The sequence below is a fragment of the Homo sapiens genome, chromosome 4 (genome assembly GCF_000001405.40).
Source record: "Homo sapiens chromosome 4, GRCh38.p14 Primary Assembly".
NCBI classification, from domain to species: Eukaryota; Metazoa; Chordata; class Mammalia; order Primates; family Hominidae; genus Homo; species Homo sapiens.
Window position 1 is genome coordinate 131,721,853 of NC_000004.12, and position 13,401 is coordinate 131,735,253.

The 13,401-nt window shown below is 61.9% G+C and overlaps 3 annotated features.

The window, feature by feature from the left end:
• Positions 8,389-8,889: an enhancer, noted in NCBI's record as "H3K4me1 hESC enhancer chr4:132651396-132651896 (GRCh37/hg19 assembly coordinates)". NCBI's record gives its function as "activates a minimal SCP1, AML or CMV promoter by ChIP-STARR-seq in naive H9 embryonic stem cells {active_cell/tissue: H9 hESC(naive)}" and the evidence as "EXISTENCE:reporter gene assay evidence [ECO:0000049][PMID:30033119]".
• Positions 8,890-9,390: an enhancer, noted in NCBI's record as "H3K4me1 hESC enhancer chr4:132651897-132652397 (GRCh37/hg19 assembly coordinates)". NCBI's record gives its function as "activates a minimal SCP1, AML or CMV promoter by ChIP-STARR-seq in naive H9 embryonic stem cells {active_cell/tissue: H9 hESC(naive)}" and the evidence as "EXISTENCE:reporter gene assay evidence [ECO:0000049][PMID:30033119]".
• Positions 10,429-10,580: a silencer, noted in NCBI's record as "fragment chr4:132653436-132653587 (GRCh37/hg19 assembly coordinates)". NCBI's record gives its function as "represses an EF-1alpha promoter that drives an FKBP-Casp9 reporter gene in an ReSE screen in K562 erythroleukemia cells {active_cell/tissue: K562}" and the evidence as "EXISTENCE:reporter gene assay evidence [ECO:0000049][PMID:32094911]".

The window sequence follows — 13,401 nt, forward strand, 5'->3', positions numbered from 1 at the left end:
GCAGCAGATTTCTGACTGTACATCTAGGTTTGTTCATACATTCTCTGAAATCTAGCCTCAACTCTTGTACTCTGGGCACCCTCAGGCTTAATGCCACATGGAAGCCATCAAGACTTATGGCTTGAACCCTCTGGAGCAGCAGCCTGAGCTGTACCTGGGCCACTTGGAGCCATGGCTAGAGCTGGAACAGATGAGATGCATATAGTAGTGTCTCAAGGCTGCACAGGGCAGTGGGGCCCTAGGCCTGGGCCACGAAACCATTCTTCCTTCGTTGTCCTCTGAGCCTGTGATGGGAGGAGCTTCCACAAAGGTCTCTGAAATGCCCTGGAAGGTATTCATCATTTTCCTGGCTATCAGCATTTGCCTTCCTTTTAGTTAACCAAGTTTCTGCAGCTTGCTTGAATTTCTCTCCTGAAAATGGACTTTTTGTTCTACCACATGGCCAGGCTGCAAATTTTTCAAGTTTCTACACTCTGCTTACCTTCTAAATATAAGTTTCAGTTTGAGGTCATTTCTTTGCTCACACACACCAAAATAGTTTGTTAGAAGTAGCGAGATTACTTCCTGAATGCTTTGCTGCTTAGAAATTTTTTCCACCAGATACCCACCAGAACTTGAGATACTCTCAAGCTCAAAATTCGACAGATCCCTAGGGCAGGTGCACAGTGCATCCAACCTTTTTGCTAATGCCTAACTAAAGTGACCTTTGCTCCAGTTCCCATTAAGTTCCTTATCTCCAACTGAGACCTCCTCAGCCTGGACTTCATTGTGTGTCTCTATCAGTAGCTTGGTCACAACAATGTAACAAGACTCTAGTAAGTTCAAAACGTGCCCTCATCTTCCTGTCTTCTTCTGATCTCTCCGAACCCTGCCAACCTCTCTCCACTATCCAGTTTCAAAGCCACTTTCACATTTTCCGGTATGTTTACAACAATATCATATTCCTCTACCAATTCTCGATATTAGTCCTTTCTTACATTGCTCTAAAGAAATAACTGAGACTGGGTAATTTACAAAGGAAAACAGTTTAATTGGCTCATGGATCTGCACGTTATACAGAAAGCATGATGCATCTGCTCGGCTTCTGTGTATGTCTTCTGTGTATTACCTACTGTATGTCTGTGCGCGTTATGGGTGTGTATGTGTGTGTGTATATGTGTATGTGTGTGTCTGTCTGTGTGCCTGCGCGAGTGCCTGTCTGTGTGACCACTTCTGACTCCCTCTTACGACTCTATTTATCTCTCTCTCCTTTCGCGCTCTTTCCATTGCCCGCTCTTTCTATCTCTGCCCATCAGTATGTGCCCATCTGTGTCTGTGCCTTGGGACACATGTGCCCTGTGCGCCGGAGGGTGGGTTTCTTGCAGGTCGGCCTTTCTTCTGGTCAGCCTCTCCCCGCGTCTCTGCCTGGGTCATGTGGCCGGTTGGCAGTCGGTTTCCCGGCGGTTCCGGTTTGGGGGTCTGTGAGGGCCTGGGCAATGCCGGCATCTGCTTCGGAGCCGCAGGGGTTTTCGTCCCCTCCCCATCCGGAGCAGCCTCTTTGCTAGGCTAGATCCAGACGACCGCTCCCCAAGCAAGGACAACGGCCTCCCAGGCGCTCATTGTCCACCCGCAGGAGGGTGCCCGCAGACCTTCAAGAAGATGGTTCTCACGCCTCTCGCCCTCTCCCTCATGGAGAAATGGAGCCACAGCTCGACGCAGGGACGGAGAAGGAAGCCGGCAAGGGGATGGGGCAAGCATCTCTGTCACTCAAAGGCTGGCCTTCCTGGCCGAGTCACCCGTCTGACACTCCTCCCCGGATGCCCGGGGTGGTGGCATGGCCCCGTATCCTGCCTGGGCTCTGGCCTCTGCTCTGTCCTCCCTCTTGCTGTGTCTGCCCCGTCTCTGAGAAGCCTGGCGGCTTCTTAGTCTGGCTCAACGTCTTCAACAAAGAAGACTTCGCAGTCCATCAGGGAGAAACCCCGTGGGCGTCCGTGTCATGATCGTTTCCCTCTCCACACCTCTTTCTGGATGATTGGGCAGGTGTGGTGAACCTGGAGCTCTGGGCTTCCATACCTGTGTGGGACAGGGAAGCTCTCTTGGTCTCCATGGCCCAAGTGATGGCTGCGCGCTCGGTCCAGGAAGAGGGGGAGGCAAGCCCACCGTTCCCCACATTGGCCTTCCAGGAAAGGCGGTGTTGCATCCCACCTGCACTTCCTGTCTGATCCTTGAGGGCCAACCGGTCCCTCCGCTCCTGGGGAAAGCGCCTTCTGGCACTGAATCTTTTGGCTGCCACGGATGTCAGGGAGCCAACGGGACTGGGTTTTGGCTGGGTGCAGCGGAGGTTGCGTCAGGGGTACCTAAGCGGTAGCGGCGTGGGGGTGGGGTGTACTTGGTCCAAAGCTCTGGGCTCCTCTGGCGGGCCTCCCTGAATGTGGCCTGGACTCGCGCACAGGCCCTGTCTCGCAGGTTTGCAGGTGCGCTTGGCTTTTCCTCCGCTTTGTGGGGCAGGTCTCCAGTGGCCCCCGGGCGCACGCCTGGACATCACTGTCCGTCTCGTCGTCGCCCCCTACGGCCTCAAAGACACACGCTCACTGCATGTGCTCTTGGGGGACGTCAGTGCCACGTTTGGTCACACGGGCTCCAGCTCGGACTCGCCTCTGTCTGCCTTTGCAGGTGTCGCCGGAAGCTGCGTCGGGATGCCGGAGCCCCCGGGCGTCGGAGATGAAGGCAGGCCCCTGCTCCACCCAGGAAGGAGGGAGGCAGTGGACTCATGGGTCAGTGCCGTTGCAGACGACAGCACGCCTTGCGGCCTTGGGGATCTTTCCGTGCCCCGGCGAGACCCTTTCCGCCTCACTGCATTGTAACCCCATTCCCGATCAGCGGGTGGGAGCCATCATCGAATCCCAAGAGGCGTCCGCGCAGCCAAGCCAGCACCCCGAAGGTCCTCCTTCACCGGGAACAGAAGCAGGAGACCGATCAAGGAGGTCCTGACGACAGGACCCCTATGGGTCCGACCCTGGGTCTCCCGCAGGCCCCTCTGGTAGTCCTCTTCCCACCCGCCGCCTCGGGCTGCGCCGCAGCCGCCGCCGCCGCAACCTCCAGGACCGCCGCCCCAGTCCCCGCAGCCGCCGCGTCTCCGCCATTTTTTAAAGGGTCCGCAGCCTGACTCTGCTGAGTAAGGAGGGGTGGGGCGGGTGAGTCGGCCTCGCCAGTGCGCATGCGCGAGGCCCCAGCCGCCGCTTTGGTCACAGTGACCGCCACCGTTGCCGGGGGATGGGTCCCTGAGACTTGGCGAAGTAGGAGCCCTGTGTGATTGTGCGTCAGAGTCGGGGCTGACACCAGTCCTGGCCAGGGCACTTACCAGGACGGTCTCCGGAGGCCGGGATTCGCGGAGGGTCCACCAGCAGTAAGAAACGCCAGGAGGAAGAAACCTCAGACAGATCGCCGGGGACGCAGCGCGGGATCCCAGCCTCAGGCGTGCACGGACGGTGTGCGGGTGAGTCTCCCCAAAAGTGGCGCCCTTGTGATGTGGAGGACAGGTCTGCCAGGGTGTCCGTGGGCTGCTGTCTCACCGGTGGCCTCTTAGTCGCGGAGAGCAGAACCCGGCAGCTTCAGGGGCAGCCTGGGGGTGGGTGTTACCTGCTGTATGTCTGTGTGCGTCTTGGTTGTGTGTGTGTGTGTGTGTGTGTGTGTGTGTGTGTGTGTGTGTTTGTGTCTGTGTGCGTGCGTGTGCGCGTCTGTGTGCCCACTTCTGTCTATCTCTTACGTCTCTCTCTCTCTCTCCCCCCTCTCGCTCTTTCCGTCGCCCTCTCTTTCTATCTCTGTCTGTCTGTGTGTGCGTGTGCCTTGGGACACATGTGCCCCGTGCGCCGGAGGGTGGGTTTCTTGAAGGTCGGTCTTTCTTCTGGTCAGCCTCTCCCCGCGTCTCTGCCTCGGTCGTGTGGCCGGTTAGCAGTCGGTTTCCCGGCGGTTCCGGTTTGGGGGTCTGTGAGGGCCTGGGCAACGCCGGCATCTGCTTCGGAACCTCAGGGGTTTTCGTCCACTCCCCATCCGGAGCAGCCTCTTTGCTAGGCTAGATCCAGACGACCGCTCCCCAAGCAAGGACAACGGCCTCCCAGGCGCTCATTGTCCACCCGCAGGAGGGTGCCCGCAGACATTCAAGAAGATGGTTCTCACGCCTCTCGCCCTCTCCCTCATGGAGAAATGGAGCCACAGCTCGACGCAGGGACGGAGAAGGAAGCCGGCAAGGGGATGGGGCAAGCATCTCTGTCACTCAAAGGCTGGCCTTCCTGGCCGAGTCACCCGTCTGACACTCCTCCCCGGATGCCCGTGGTGGTGGCATGGCCCCGTATCCTGCCTGGGCTCTGGCCTCTGCTCTGTCCTCCCTCTTGCTGTGTCTGCCCCGTCTCTGAGAAGCCTGGCGGCTTCTTAGTCTGGCTCAACGTCTTCAACAAAGAAGACTTCGCAGTCCATCAGGGAGAAACCCCGTGGGCGTCCGTGTCATGATCGTTTCCCTCTCCACACCTCTTTCTGGATGATTGGGCAGGTGTGGTGATCCTGGAGCTCTGGGCTTCCATACCTGTGTGGGACAGGGAAGCTCTCTTGGTCTCCATGGCCCAAGTGATGGCTGCGCGCTCGGTCCAGGAAGAGGGGGAGGCAAGCCCACCGTTCCCCACATTGGCCTTCCAGGAAAGGCGGTGTTGCATCCCACCTGCACTTCCTGTCTGATCCTTGAGGGCCAACCGGTTCCTCCGCTCCTGGGGAAAGCGCCTTCTGGCACTGAATGTTTTGGCTGCCACGGATGTCAGGGAGCCAACGGGACTGGGTTTTGGCTGGGTGCAGGGGAGGTTGCGTCACGGGTACCTAAGCGGTAGCGGTGTGGAGGTGAGGTGTACTTGGTCCAAAGCTCTGGGCTCCTCTGGCGGGCCTCCCTGAATGTGGCCTGGACTCGCGCACTGGCCCTGTCTCGCAGGTTTGCAGGTGCGCTTGGCTTTTCCTCCGCTTTGTGGGGCAGGTCTCCAGTGGCCCCCGGGCGCACGCCTGGACATCACTGTCCGTCTCGTCGTCGCCCCCTACGGCCTCAAAGACACACGCTCACTGCATGTGCTCTTGGGGGACGTCAGTGCCACGTTTGGTCACACGGGCTCCAGCTCGGACTCGCCTCTGTCTGCCTTTGCAGGTGTCGCCGGAAGCTGCGTCGGGATGCCGGAGCCCCCGGGCCTTGGAGATGAAGGCAGGCCCCTGCTCCACCCAGGAAGGAGGGAGGCAGTGGGCTCATGGGTCAGTGCCGTTGCAGACGACAGCACGCCTTGCGGCCTTGCGGATCTTTCCGTGCCCCGGCGAGACCCTTTCCGCCTCACTGCATTGTAACCCCATTCCCGATCAGCAGGTGGGAGCCATCATCGGATCCCAAGAGGAGTCCGCGCAGCCCAGCCAGCACCCCGAAGGTCCTCCTTCACCGGGAACAGAAGCAGGAGACCGATCAAGGAGGTCCTGACGACAGGACTCCTATGGGTCCGACCCTGGGTCTCCCGCAGGCCCCTCTGGTAGTCCTCTTCCCACCCGCCGCCTCGGGCTGCGCCGCAGCCGCCACCGCCGCAACCTCCAGCACCGCCGCCCCAGTCCCCGCAGCCGCCGCGTCGCCGCCATTTTTTAAAGGGTCCGCAGCCTGATGCTGCCGAGTAAGGGGGGGTGGGGCGGCTGAGTCGGCCTCGCCAGTGCGCATGCGCGAGGCCCGAGTCGCCGCTTGGATCACAGTGACCGCCACCGTTGCCCGGGGATGGGTCCCTGAGACTTTGCGAAGTAGGAGCCCTGTGTGATCGTGCGTCAGAGTCGGGGCTGAGACCAGTCCTGGCCAGGGCAGTTACCAGGACGGTCTCCGGAGGCCGGGATTCGCGGAGGGTCCACCAGCAGGAAGAAACGCCAGAAGGAAGAAACCTCAGACAGATCGCCGGGGAGGCAGCGCGGGATCCCAGCCTCAGGCGTGCGCGGACGGTGTGCGGGTGAGTCTCCCCAAAAGTGGCGCCCTTGTGATGTGGAGGACAGGTCTGCCAGGGTGTCCGTGGGCTGCTGTCTCACCGGTGGCTTCGTAGTCGCGGAGAGCAGAACCCGGCAGCTTCAGGGGCAGCCTGGGGGTGGGTGTTACCTGCTGTATGTCTGTGTGCGTCTTGGTTGTGTGTGTGTGTGTGTGTGTGTGTGTTTGTGTGTGTGCGTGCGCGCGTCTGTGTGCCTTCTATCTCTTACGTCTCTCTCTCTCTCTCCCCCCTCTCGCTCTTTCCGCCGCCCTCTCTTTCTATCTCTGTCCGTCTGTGTGTGCTTGTGCCTCGGGACACATGTGCCCCGTGCGCCGGAGGGTGGGTTTCTTGCAGGTCGGCCTTTCTTCTGGTCAGCCTCTCCCCGCGTCACTGCCTGGGTCGTGTGGCCGGTTGGCAGTCGGTTTCCCGGCAGTTCCGGTTTGGGGGTCTGTGAAGGCCTCCGCAACGCGGGCATCTGCGTCGGAACCGCAGGGGTTTTCGTCCCCTCCCCATCCGGAGCAGCCTCTTTGCTAGGCTAGACCCAGACGACCGCTCCCCATGCAAGGACAACGGCCTCCCAGGCGCTCATTGTCCACCCGCAGGAGGGTGCCCGCAGACCTTCAAGAAGATGGTTCTCACGCCTCTCGCCCTCTCCCTCATGGAGAAATGGAGCCACAGCTCGACGCAGGGATGGAGAAGGAAGCCGGCAAGGGGATGGGGCAAGCATCTCTGTCACTCAAAGGCTGGCCTTCCTGGCCGAGTCACCCGTCTGACACTCCTCCCCGGATGCCCGTGGTGGTGGCATGGCCCCGTATCCTGCCTGGGCTCTGGCCTCTGCTCTGTCCTCCCTCTTGCTGTGTCTGCCCCGTCTCTGAGAAGCCTGGCGGCTTCTTAGTCTGGCTCAACGTCTTCAACAAAGAAGACTTCCCAGTCCATCAGGGAGAAACCCCGTGGGCGTCCGTGTCATGATCGTTTCCCTCTCCACACCTCTTTCTGGATGGTTGGGCAGGTGTGGTGATCCCGGAGCTGTGGGCTTCCATACCTGTGTGGGACAGGGAAGCTCTCTTGGTCTCCATGGCCCAAGTGATGGCTGCGCGCTCGGTCCAGGAAGAGGGGGAGGCAAGCCCACCGTTCCCCACATTGGCCTTCCAGGAAAGGCGGTGTTGCATCCCACCTGCACTTCCTGTCTGATCCTTGAGGGCCAACCGGTTCCTCCGCTCCTGGGGAAAGCGCCTTCTGGCACGGAATCTTTTGGCTGCCACGGATGTCAGGGAGCCAACGGGACTGGGTTTTGGCTGGGTGCAGGGGAGGTTGCGTCAGGGGTACCTAAGCGGTAGCGGCGTGGGGGTGGGGTGTACTTGGTCCAAAGCTCTGGGCTCCTCTGGCGGGCCTCCCTGAATGTGGCCTGGACTCGCGCGCAGGCCCTGTCTCGCAGGTTTGCAGGTGCGCTTGGCTTTTCCTCCGCTTTGTGGGGCAGGTCTGCAGTGGCCCCCCGGGCGCACGCCTGGACATCACTGTCCGTCTCGTCGTCGTCCCTTACGGCCTGAAAGACACACGCTCACTGCATGGGCTCTTGGGGGACTTTAGTGCCACGTTTGGTCACACGGGCTCCAGCTCGGACTCGCCTCTGTCTGTCTTTGCCGGTGTCGCCGGTGTCGCCGGAAGGCGCGTCGGGATGCCGGAGCCCCCGGGCCTTGGAGATGAAGGCAGGCCCCTGCTCTATCCAGGAAGGAGGGAGGCAGTGGGCTCATGGGTCAGTGCTGTTGCAGACGACAGCACGCCTTGCGGCCCTGGGGATCTTTCTGTGCCCCGGCGAGACCCTTTTCGCCTCACTGTATTGTAACCCCATTCCCGATCAGCCGGTGGGAGCCATCATCGGATCCCAAGAGGAGTCCGCGCAGCCCAGCCAGCACCCCGAAGGTCCTCCTTCACCGGGAACCAAAGCAGGAGACCGATCAAGGAGGTCCTGACGACAGGACTCCTATGGGTCCGACCCTGGGTCTCCCGCAGGCCCCTCTGGTAGTCCTCTTCCCACCCGCCGCCTCGGGCTGCGCCGAAGCCGCCGCCGCCGCAACCTCCAGCACCGCCGCCCCAGTCCCGGCAGCCGCGTCACCGCCATTTTTTAAAGGGTCCGCAGCCTGACTCTGCTGAGTAAGGGGGGGTGGGGCGGGTGAGTCGGCCTCGCCAGTGCGCATGCGCGAGCCCCGAGCCGCCGCTTTGGTCACAGTGACCGCCACCGTTGCCCGGGGATGGGTCCCTGAGACTTGGCGAAGTAGGAGCCCTGTGTGATCGTGCGTCAGAATCGGGGCTAAGACCAGTCCTGGCCAGGGCAGTTACCAGGTTGGTCTCCGGAGGCCGGGATTCGCGGAGGGTCCACCAGCAGGAAGAAACGCCAGGAGGAAGAAACCTCAGACAGATCGCCGGGGACGCAGCGCGGGATCCTAGCCTCAGGCGTGCGCGGACGGTGTGCGGGTGAGTCTCCCCAAAAGTAGCGCCCTTGTGATGTGGAGGACAGGTCTGCCAGGGTGTCCGTGGGCTGCTGTCTCACCGGTGGCTTCGTAGTCGCGGAGAGCAGAACCCAGCAGCTTCAGGGGCAGCCTGGGGGTGGGTGTTACCTGCTGTATGTCTGTGTGCGTCTTGGTTGTGTGTGTGTGTGTGTGTGTCTGTGTGTCTGTGTGTGTCTGTGTGCGTGCGTGCGTGAGTCTGTGTGCCCAGTTCTATCTCTTACGTCTCTCTCTCTCTCTCTCCCCCCCCTCGCTCTTTCCATCGCCCTCTCTTTCTATCTCTGTCCGTCTGTGTGTGCTTGTGCCTCGGGACACATGTGCCCCGTGCGCCGGAGGGTGGGTTTCTTGCAGGTCGGCCTTTCTTCTGGTCAGCCTCTCCCCGTGTCTCTGCCTGGGTCGTGTGGCCGGTTGGCAGTCGGTTTCCCGGCGGTTCCGGTTTGGGGGTCTGTGAAGGCCTGCGCAACGCGGGCATCTGCCTCGGAACCGCAGGGGTTTTCGTCCCCTCCCCATCCGGAGCAGCCTCTTTGCTAGGCTAGATCCAGACGACCGCTCCCCAAGCAAGGACAACGGCCTCCCAGGCGCTCATTGTCCAATCGCAGGAGGGTGCCCGCAGACCTTCAAGAAGATGGTTCTCACGCCTCTCCCCCTCTCCCTCAGGGAGAAATGGAGCCACAGCTCGACGCAGGGACGGAGAAGGAAGCCGGCAAGGGGATGGGGCAAGCATCTCTGTCACTCAAAGGCTGGCCTTCCTGGCCGAGTCACCCGTCTGACACTCCTCCCCGGATGCCCGTGGTGGTGGCATGGCCCCGTATCCTGCCTGGGCTCTGGCCTCTGCTCTGTCCTCCCTCTTGCTGTGTCTGCCCCGTCTCTGCGAAGCCTGGCGGCTTCTTAGTCTGGCTCAACGTCTTCAACAAAGAAGACTTCCCAGTCCATCAGGGAGAAACCCCGTGGGCGTCCGTGTCATGATCGTTTCCCTCTCCACACCTCTTTCTGGATGATTGGGCAGGTGTGGTCATCCTGGAGCTCTGGGCTTCCATACCTGTGTGGGACAGGGAAGCTCTCTTGGTCTCCATGGCCCAAGTGATGGCTGCGCGCTCGGTCCAGGAAGAGGGGGAGGCAAGCCCACCGTTCCCCACATTGGCCTTCCAGGAAAGGCGGTGTTGCATCCCACCTGCACTTCCTGTCTGATCCTTGAGGGCCAACCGGTTCCTCCGCTCCTGGGGAAAGCGCCTTCTGGCACTGAATCTTTTGGCTGCCACGGATGACAGGGAGCCAACGGGACTGGGTTTTGGCTGGGTGCAGGGGAGGTTGCGTCAGGGGTACCTAAGCGGTAGCGGCGTGGGGGTGGGGTGTACTTGGTCCAAAGCTCTAGGCTCCTCTGGCGGGCCTCCCTGAATGTGGCCTGGACTCGCGCACAGGCCCTGTCTCGCAGGTTTGCAGGTGCGCTTGGCTTTTCCTCCGCTTTGTGGGGCAGGTCTCCAGTGGCCCCCGGGCGCACGCCTGGACATCACTGTCCGTCTCGTCGTCGCCCCCTACGGCCTCAAAGACACACGCTCACTGCATGTGCTCTTGGGGGACGTCAGTGCCACGTTTGGTCACACGGGCTGCAGCTAGGACTCGCCTCTGTCTGTCTTTGCCGGTGTCGCCGGAAGCTGCGTCGGGATGCCGGAGCCCCCGGGCGTCGGAGATGAAGGCAGGCCCCTGCTCCACCCAGGAAGGAGGGAGGCAGTGGGCTCATGGGTCAGTGCCATTGCAGACGACAGCACGCCTTGCGGCCCTGGGGATCTTTCCGTGCCCCGGCGAGACCCTTTCCGCCTCACTGCATTGTAACCCCATTCCCGATCAGCCGGTGGGAGCCATCAACGGATCCCAAGAGGAGTCCGCGCAGCCCAGCCAGCACCCCGAAGGTCCTCCTTCACCGGCAACAGAAGCAGGAGACCGATCAAGGAGGTCCTGACGACAGGACTCCTATGGGTCCGACCCTGGGTCTCCCGCAGGCCCTTCTGGTAGTCCTCTTCCCACCCGCCGCCTCGGGCTGCGTCGCAGCCTTCGCCGCCGCAACCTCCAGCACCGCCGCCCCAGTCCCCGCAGTCGCCGCGTCGCCGCCATTTTTTAAAGGGTCCGCAGCCTGACTCTGCTGAGTAAGGAGGGGTGGGGCGGGTGAGTCGGCCTCGCCAGTGCGCATGCGCGAGGCCCCAGCCGCCGCTTTGGTCACAGTGACCGCCACCGTTGCCCGGGGATGGGTCCCTGAGTCTTGGCGAAGTAGGAGCCCTGTGTGATCGTGCGTCAGAGTCGGGGCTGAGACCAGTCCTAGCCAGGGCAGTTACCAGGACGGTGTCCGGAGGCCGGGATTCGCGGAGGGTCCACCACCAGGAAGAAACGCCAGAAGGAAGAAACCTCAGACAGATCGCCGGGGACGCAGCGCGGGATCCCAGCCTCAGGCGTGTGCGGACGGTGTGCGGGTGAGTCTCCCCAAAAGTGGCGCCCTTGTGATGTGGAGGACAGGTCTGCCAGGGTGTCCGTGGGCTGCTGTCTCACCGGTGGCTTCGTAGTCGCGGAGAGCAGAACCCGGCAGCTTCAGGGGCAGCCTGGGGGTGGGTGTTACCTGCTGTATGTCTGTGTGCGTCTTGGTTGTATGTGTGTGTGTGTGTGTGTGTTTCTGTGTGTGTCTGTGTGCGTTCGTGCGCGCGTCTGTGTGCCCACTTCTATCTCTTACGTCTCTCTCTCTCTCTCCGCCCCCCTCGCTCTTTCCGTCGCCCTCTCTTTCTATCTCTGTCCGTCTGTGTGTGCTTGTGCCTCGGGACACATGTGCCCCGTGCGCCGGAGGGTGGGTTTCTTGCAGGTCGGCCTTTCTTCTGGTCAGCCTCTCCCCGCGTCACTGCCTGGGTCGTGTGGCCGGTTGGCAGTCGGTTTCCCGGCGGTTCCGGTTTGGGGGTCTGTGAAGACCTGAGCAACGTGGGCATCTGCGTAGGAACCGCAGGGGTTTTCGTCCCCTCCCCATCCGGAGCAGCCTCTTTGCTAGGCTAGATCCAGACGACCGCTCCCCAAGCAAGGACAACGGCCTCCCAGGCGCTCATTGTCCAACCGCAGGAGGGTGCCCGCAGACCTTCAAGAAGATGGTTCTCACGCCTGTCGCCCTCTCCCTCATGGAGAAATGGAGCCACAGCTCGACGCAGGGACGGAAAAAGAAGCCGGCAAGGGGATGGGGCAAGCATCTCTGTCACTCAAAGGCTGGCCTTCCTGGCCGAGTCACCCGTCTGACACTCCTCCCCGGATGCCCGTGGTGGTGGCATGGCCCCGTATCCTGCCTGGGCTCTGGCCTCTGCTCTGTCCTCCCTCTTGCTGTGTCTGCCGCGTCTCTGCGAAGCCTGGCGGCTTAGTCTGGCTCAACGTCTTCAACAAAGAAGACTTCCCAGTCCATCAGGGAGAAACCCCGTGGGCGTCCGTGTCATGATCGTTTCCCTCTCCACACCTCTTTCTGGATGATTGGGCAGGTGTGGTGATCCTGGAGCTCTGAGCTTCCATACCTGTGTGGGACAGGGAAGCTCTCTTGGTCTCCATGGCCCAAGTGATGGCTCCGCGCTTGGTCCAGGAAGAGGGGGAGGCAAGCCCACCGTTCCCCACATTGGCCTTCCAGGAAAGGCGGTGTTGCATCCCACCTGCACTTCCTGTCTGATCCTTGAGGGCCAACCGGTTCCTCCGCTCCTGGGGAAAGCGCCTTCTGGCACTGAATCTTTTGGCTGCCACGGATGTCAGGGAGCCAACGGGACTGGGTTTTGGCTGGGTGCAGGGGAGGTTGCGTCAGGGGTACCTAAGCGGTAGCGGCGTGGGGGTGGGGTGTACTTGGTCCAAAGCTCTGGGCTCCTCTGGCGGGCCTCCCTGAATGTGGCCTGGACTCGCGCACAGGCCCTGTCTCGCAGGTTTGCAGGCGCGCTTGGCTTTTCCTCCGCTTTGTGGGGCAGGTCTCCAGTGGCCCCCGGGCGCACGCCTGGACATCACTGTCCGTCTCGTCGTCGCCCCCTACGGCCACAAAGACACACGCTCACTGCATGTGCTCTTGGGGGACGTCAGTGCCACGTTTGGTCACACGGGCTCCAGCTCGGACTCGCCTCTGTCTGACTTTGCAGGTGTCGCCGGAAGGTGCGTTGGGATGCCGGAGCCCCCGGGCCTTGGAGATGAAGGCAGGCCCCTGCTCCACCCAGGAAGGAGGGAGGCAGTGGACTCATGGGTCAGTGCCGTTGCAGACGACAGCACGCCTTGCGGCCCTGGGGATCTTTCCGTGCCCCGGCGAGACCCTTTCCGCCTCACTGCATAGTGACCTCATTCCCGATCAGCCGGTGGGAGCCATCATCGGATCCCAAGAGGAGTCCGCGCAGCCCAGCCAGCACCCCGAAGGTCCTCCTTCACCGGGAACAGAAGCAGGAGACCGATCAAGGAGGTCCTGACGACAGGACTCCTATGGGTCCGACCCTGGGTCTCCCGCAGGCCCCTCTGGTAGTCCTCTTCCCACCCGCCGCCTCGGGCTGCGCCGCAGCCGCCGCCGCCGCAACGTCCAGCACCGCCGCCCCAGTCCCCGCAGCCGCCGCGTCGCCGCCATTTTTTAAAGGGTCCGCAGTCTGACTCTGCTGAGTAAGGAGGGGTGGGGCGGGTGAGTCGGCCTCGCCAGTGCGCAAGCGCGAGGCCCCAGCCGCCGCTTTGGTCACAGTGACCGCCACCGTTGCCCGGGGATGGGTCCCTGAGACTTGGCGAAGTAGGAGCCCTGTGTGATCGTGCGTCAGAGTCGGGGCTCAGACCAGTCCTGGCCAGGGCAGTTACCAGGACGGTCTCCGGAGGCCGGGATTCGCGGAGGGTCAACCAGGAGGAAGAAACGCCAGAAGGAAGAAACCTCAGACAGATCGCCGGGG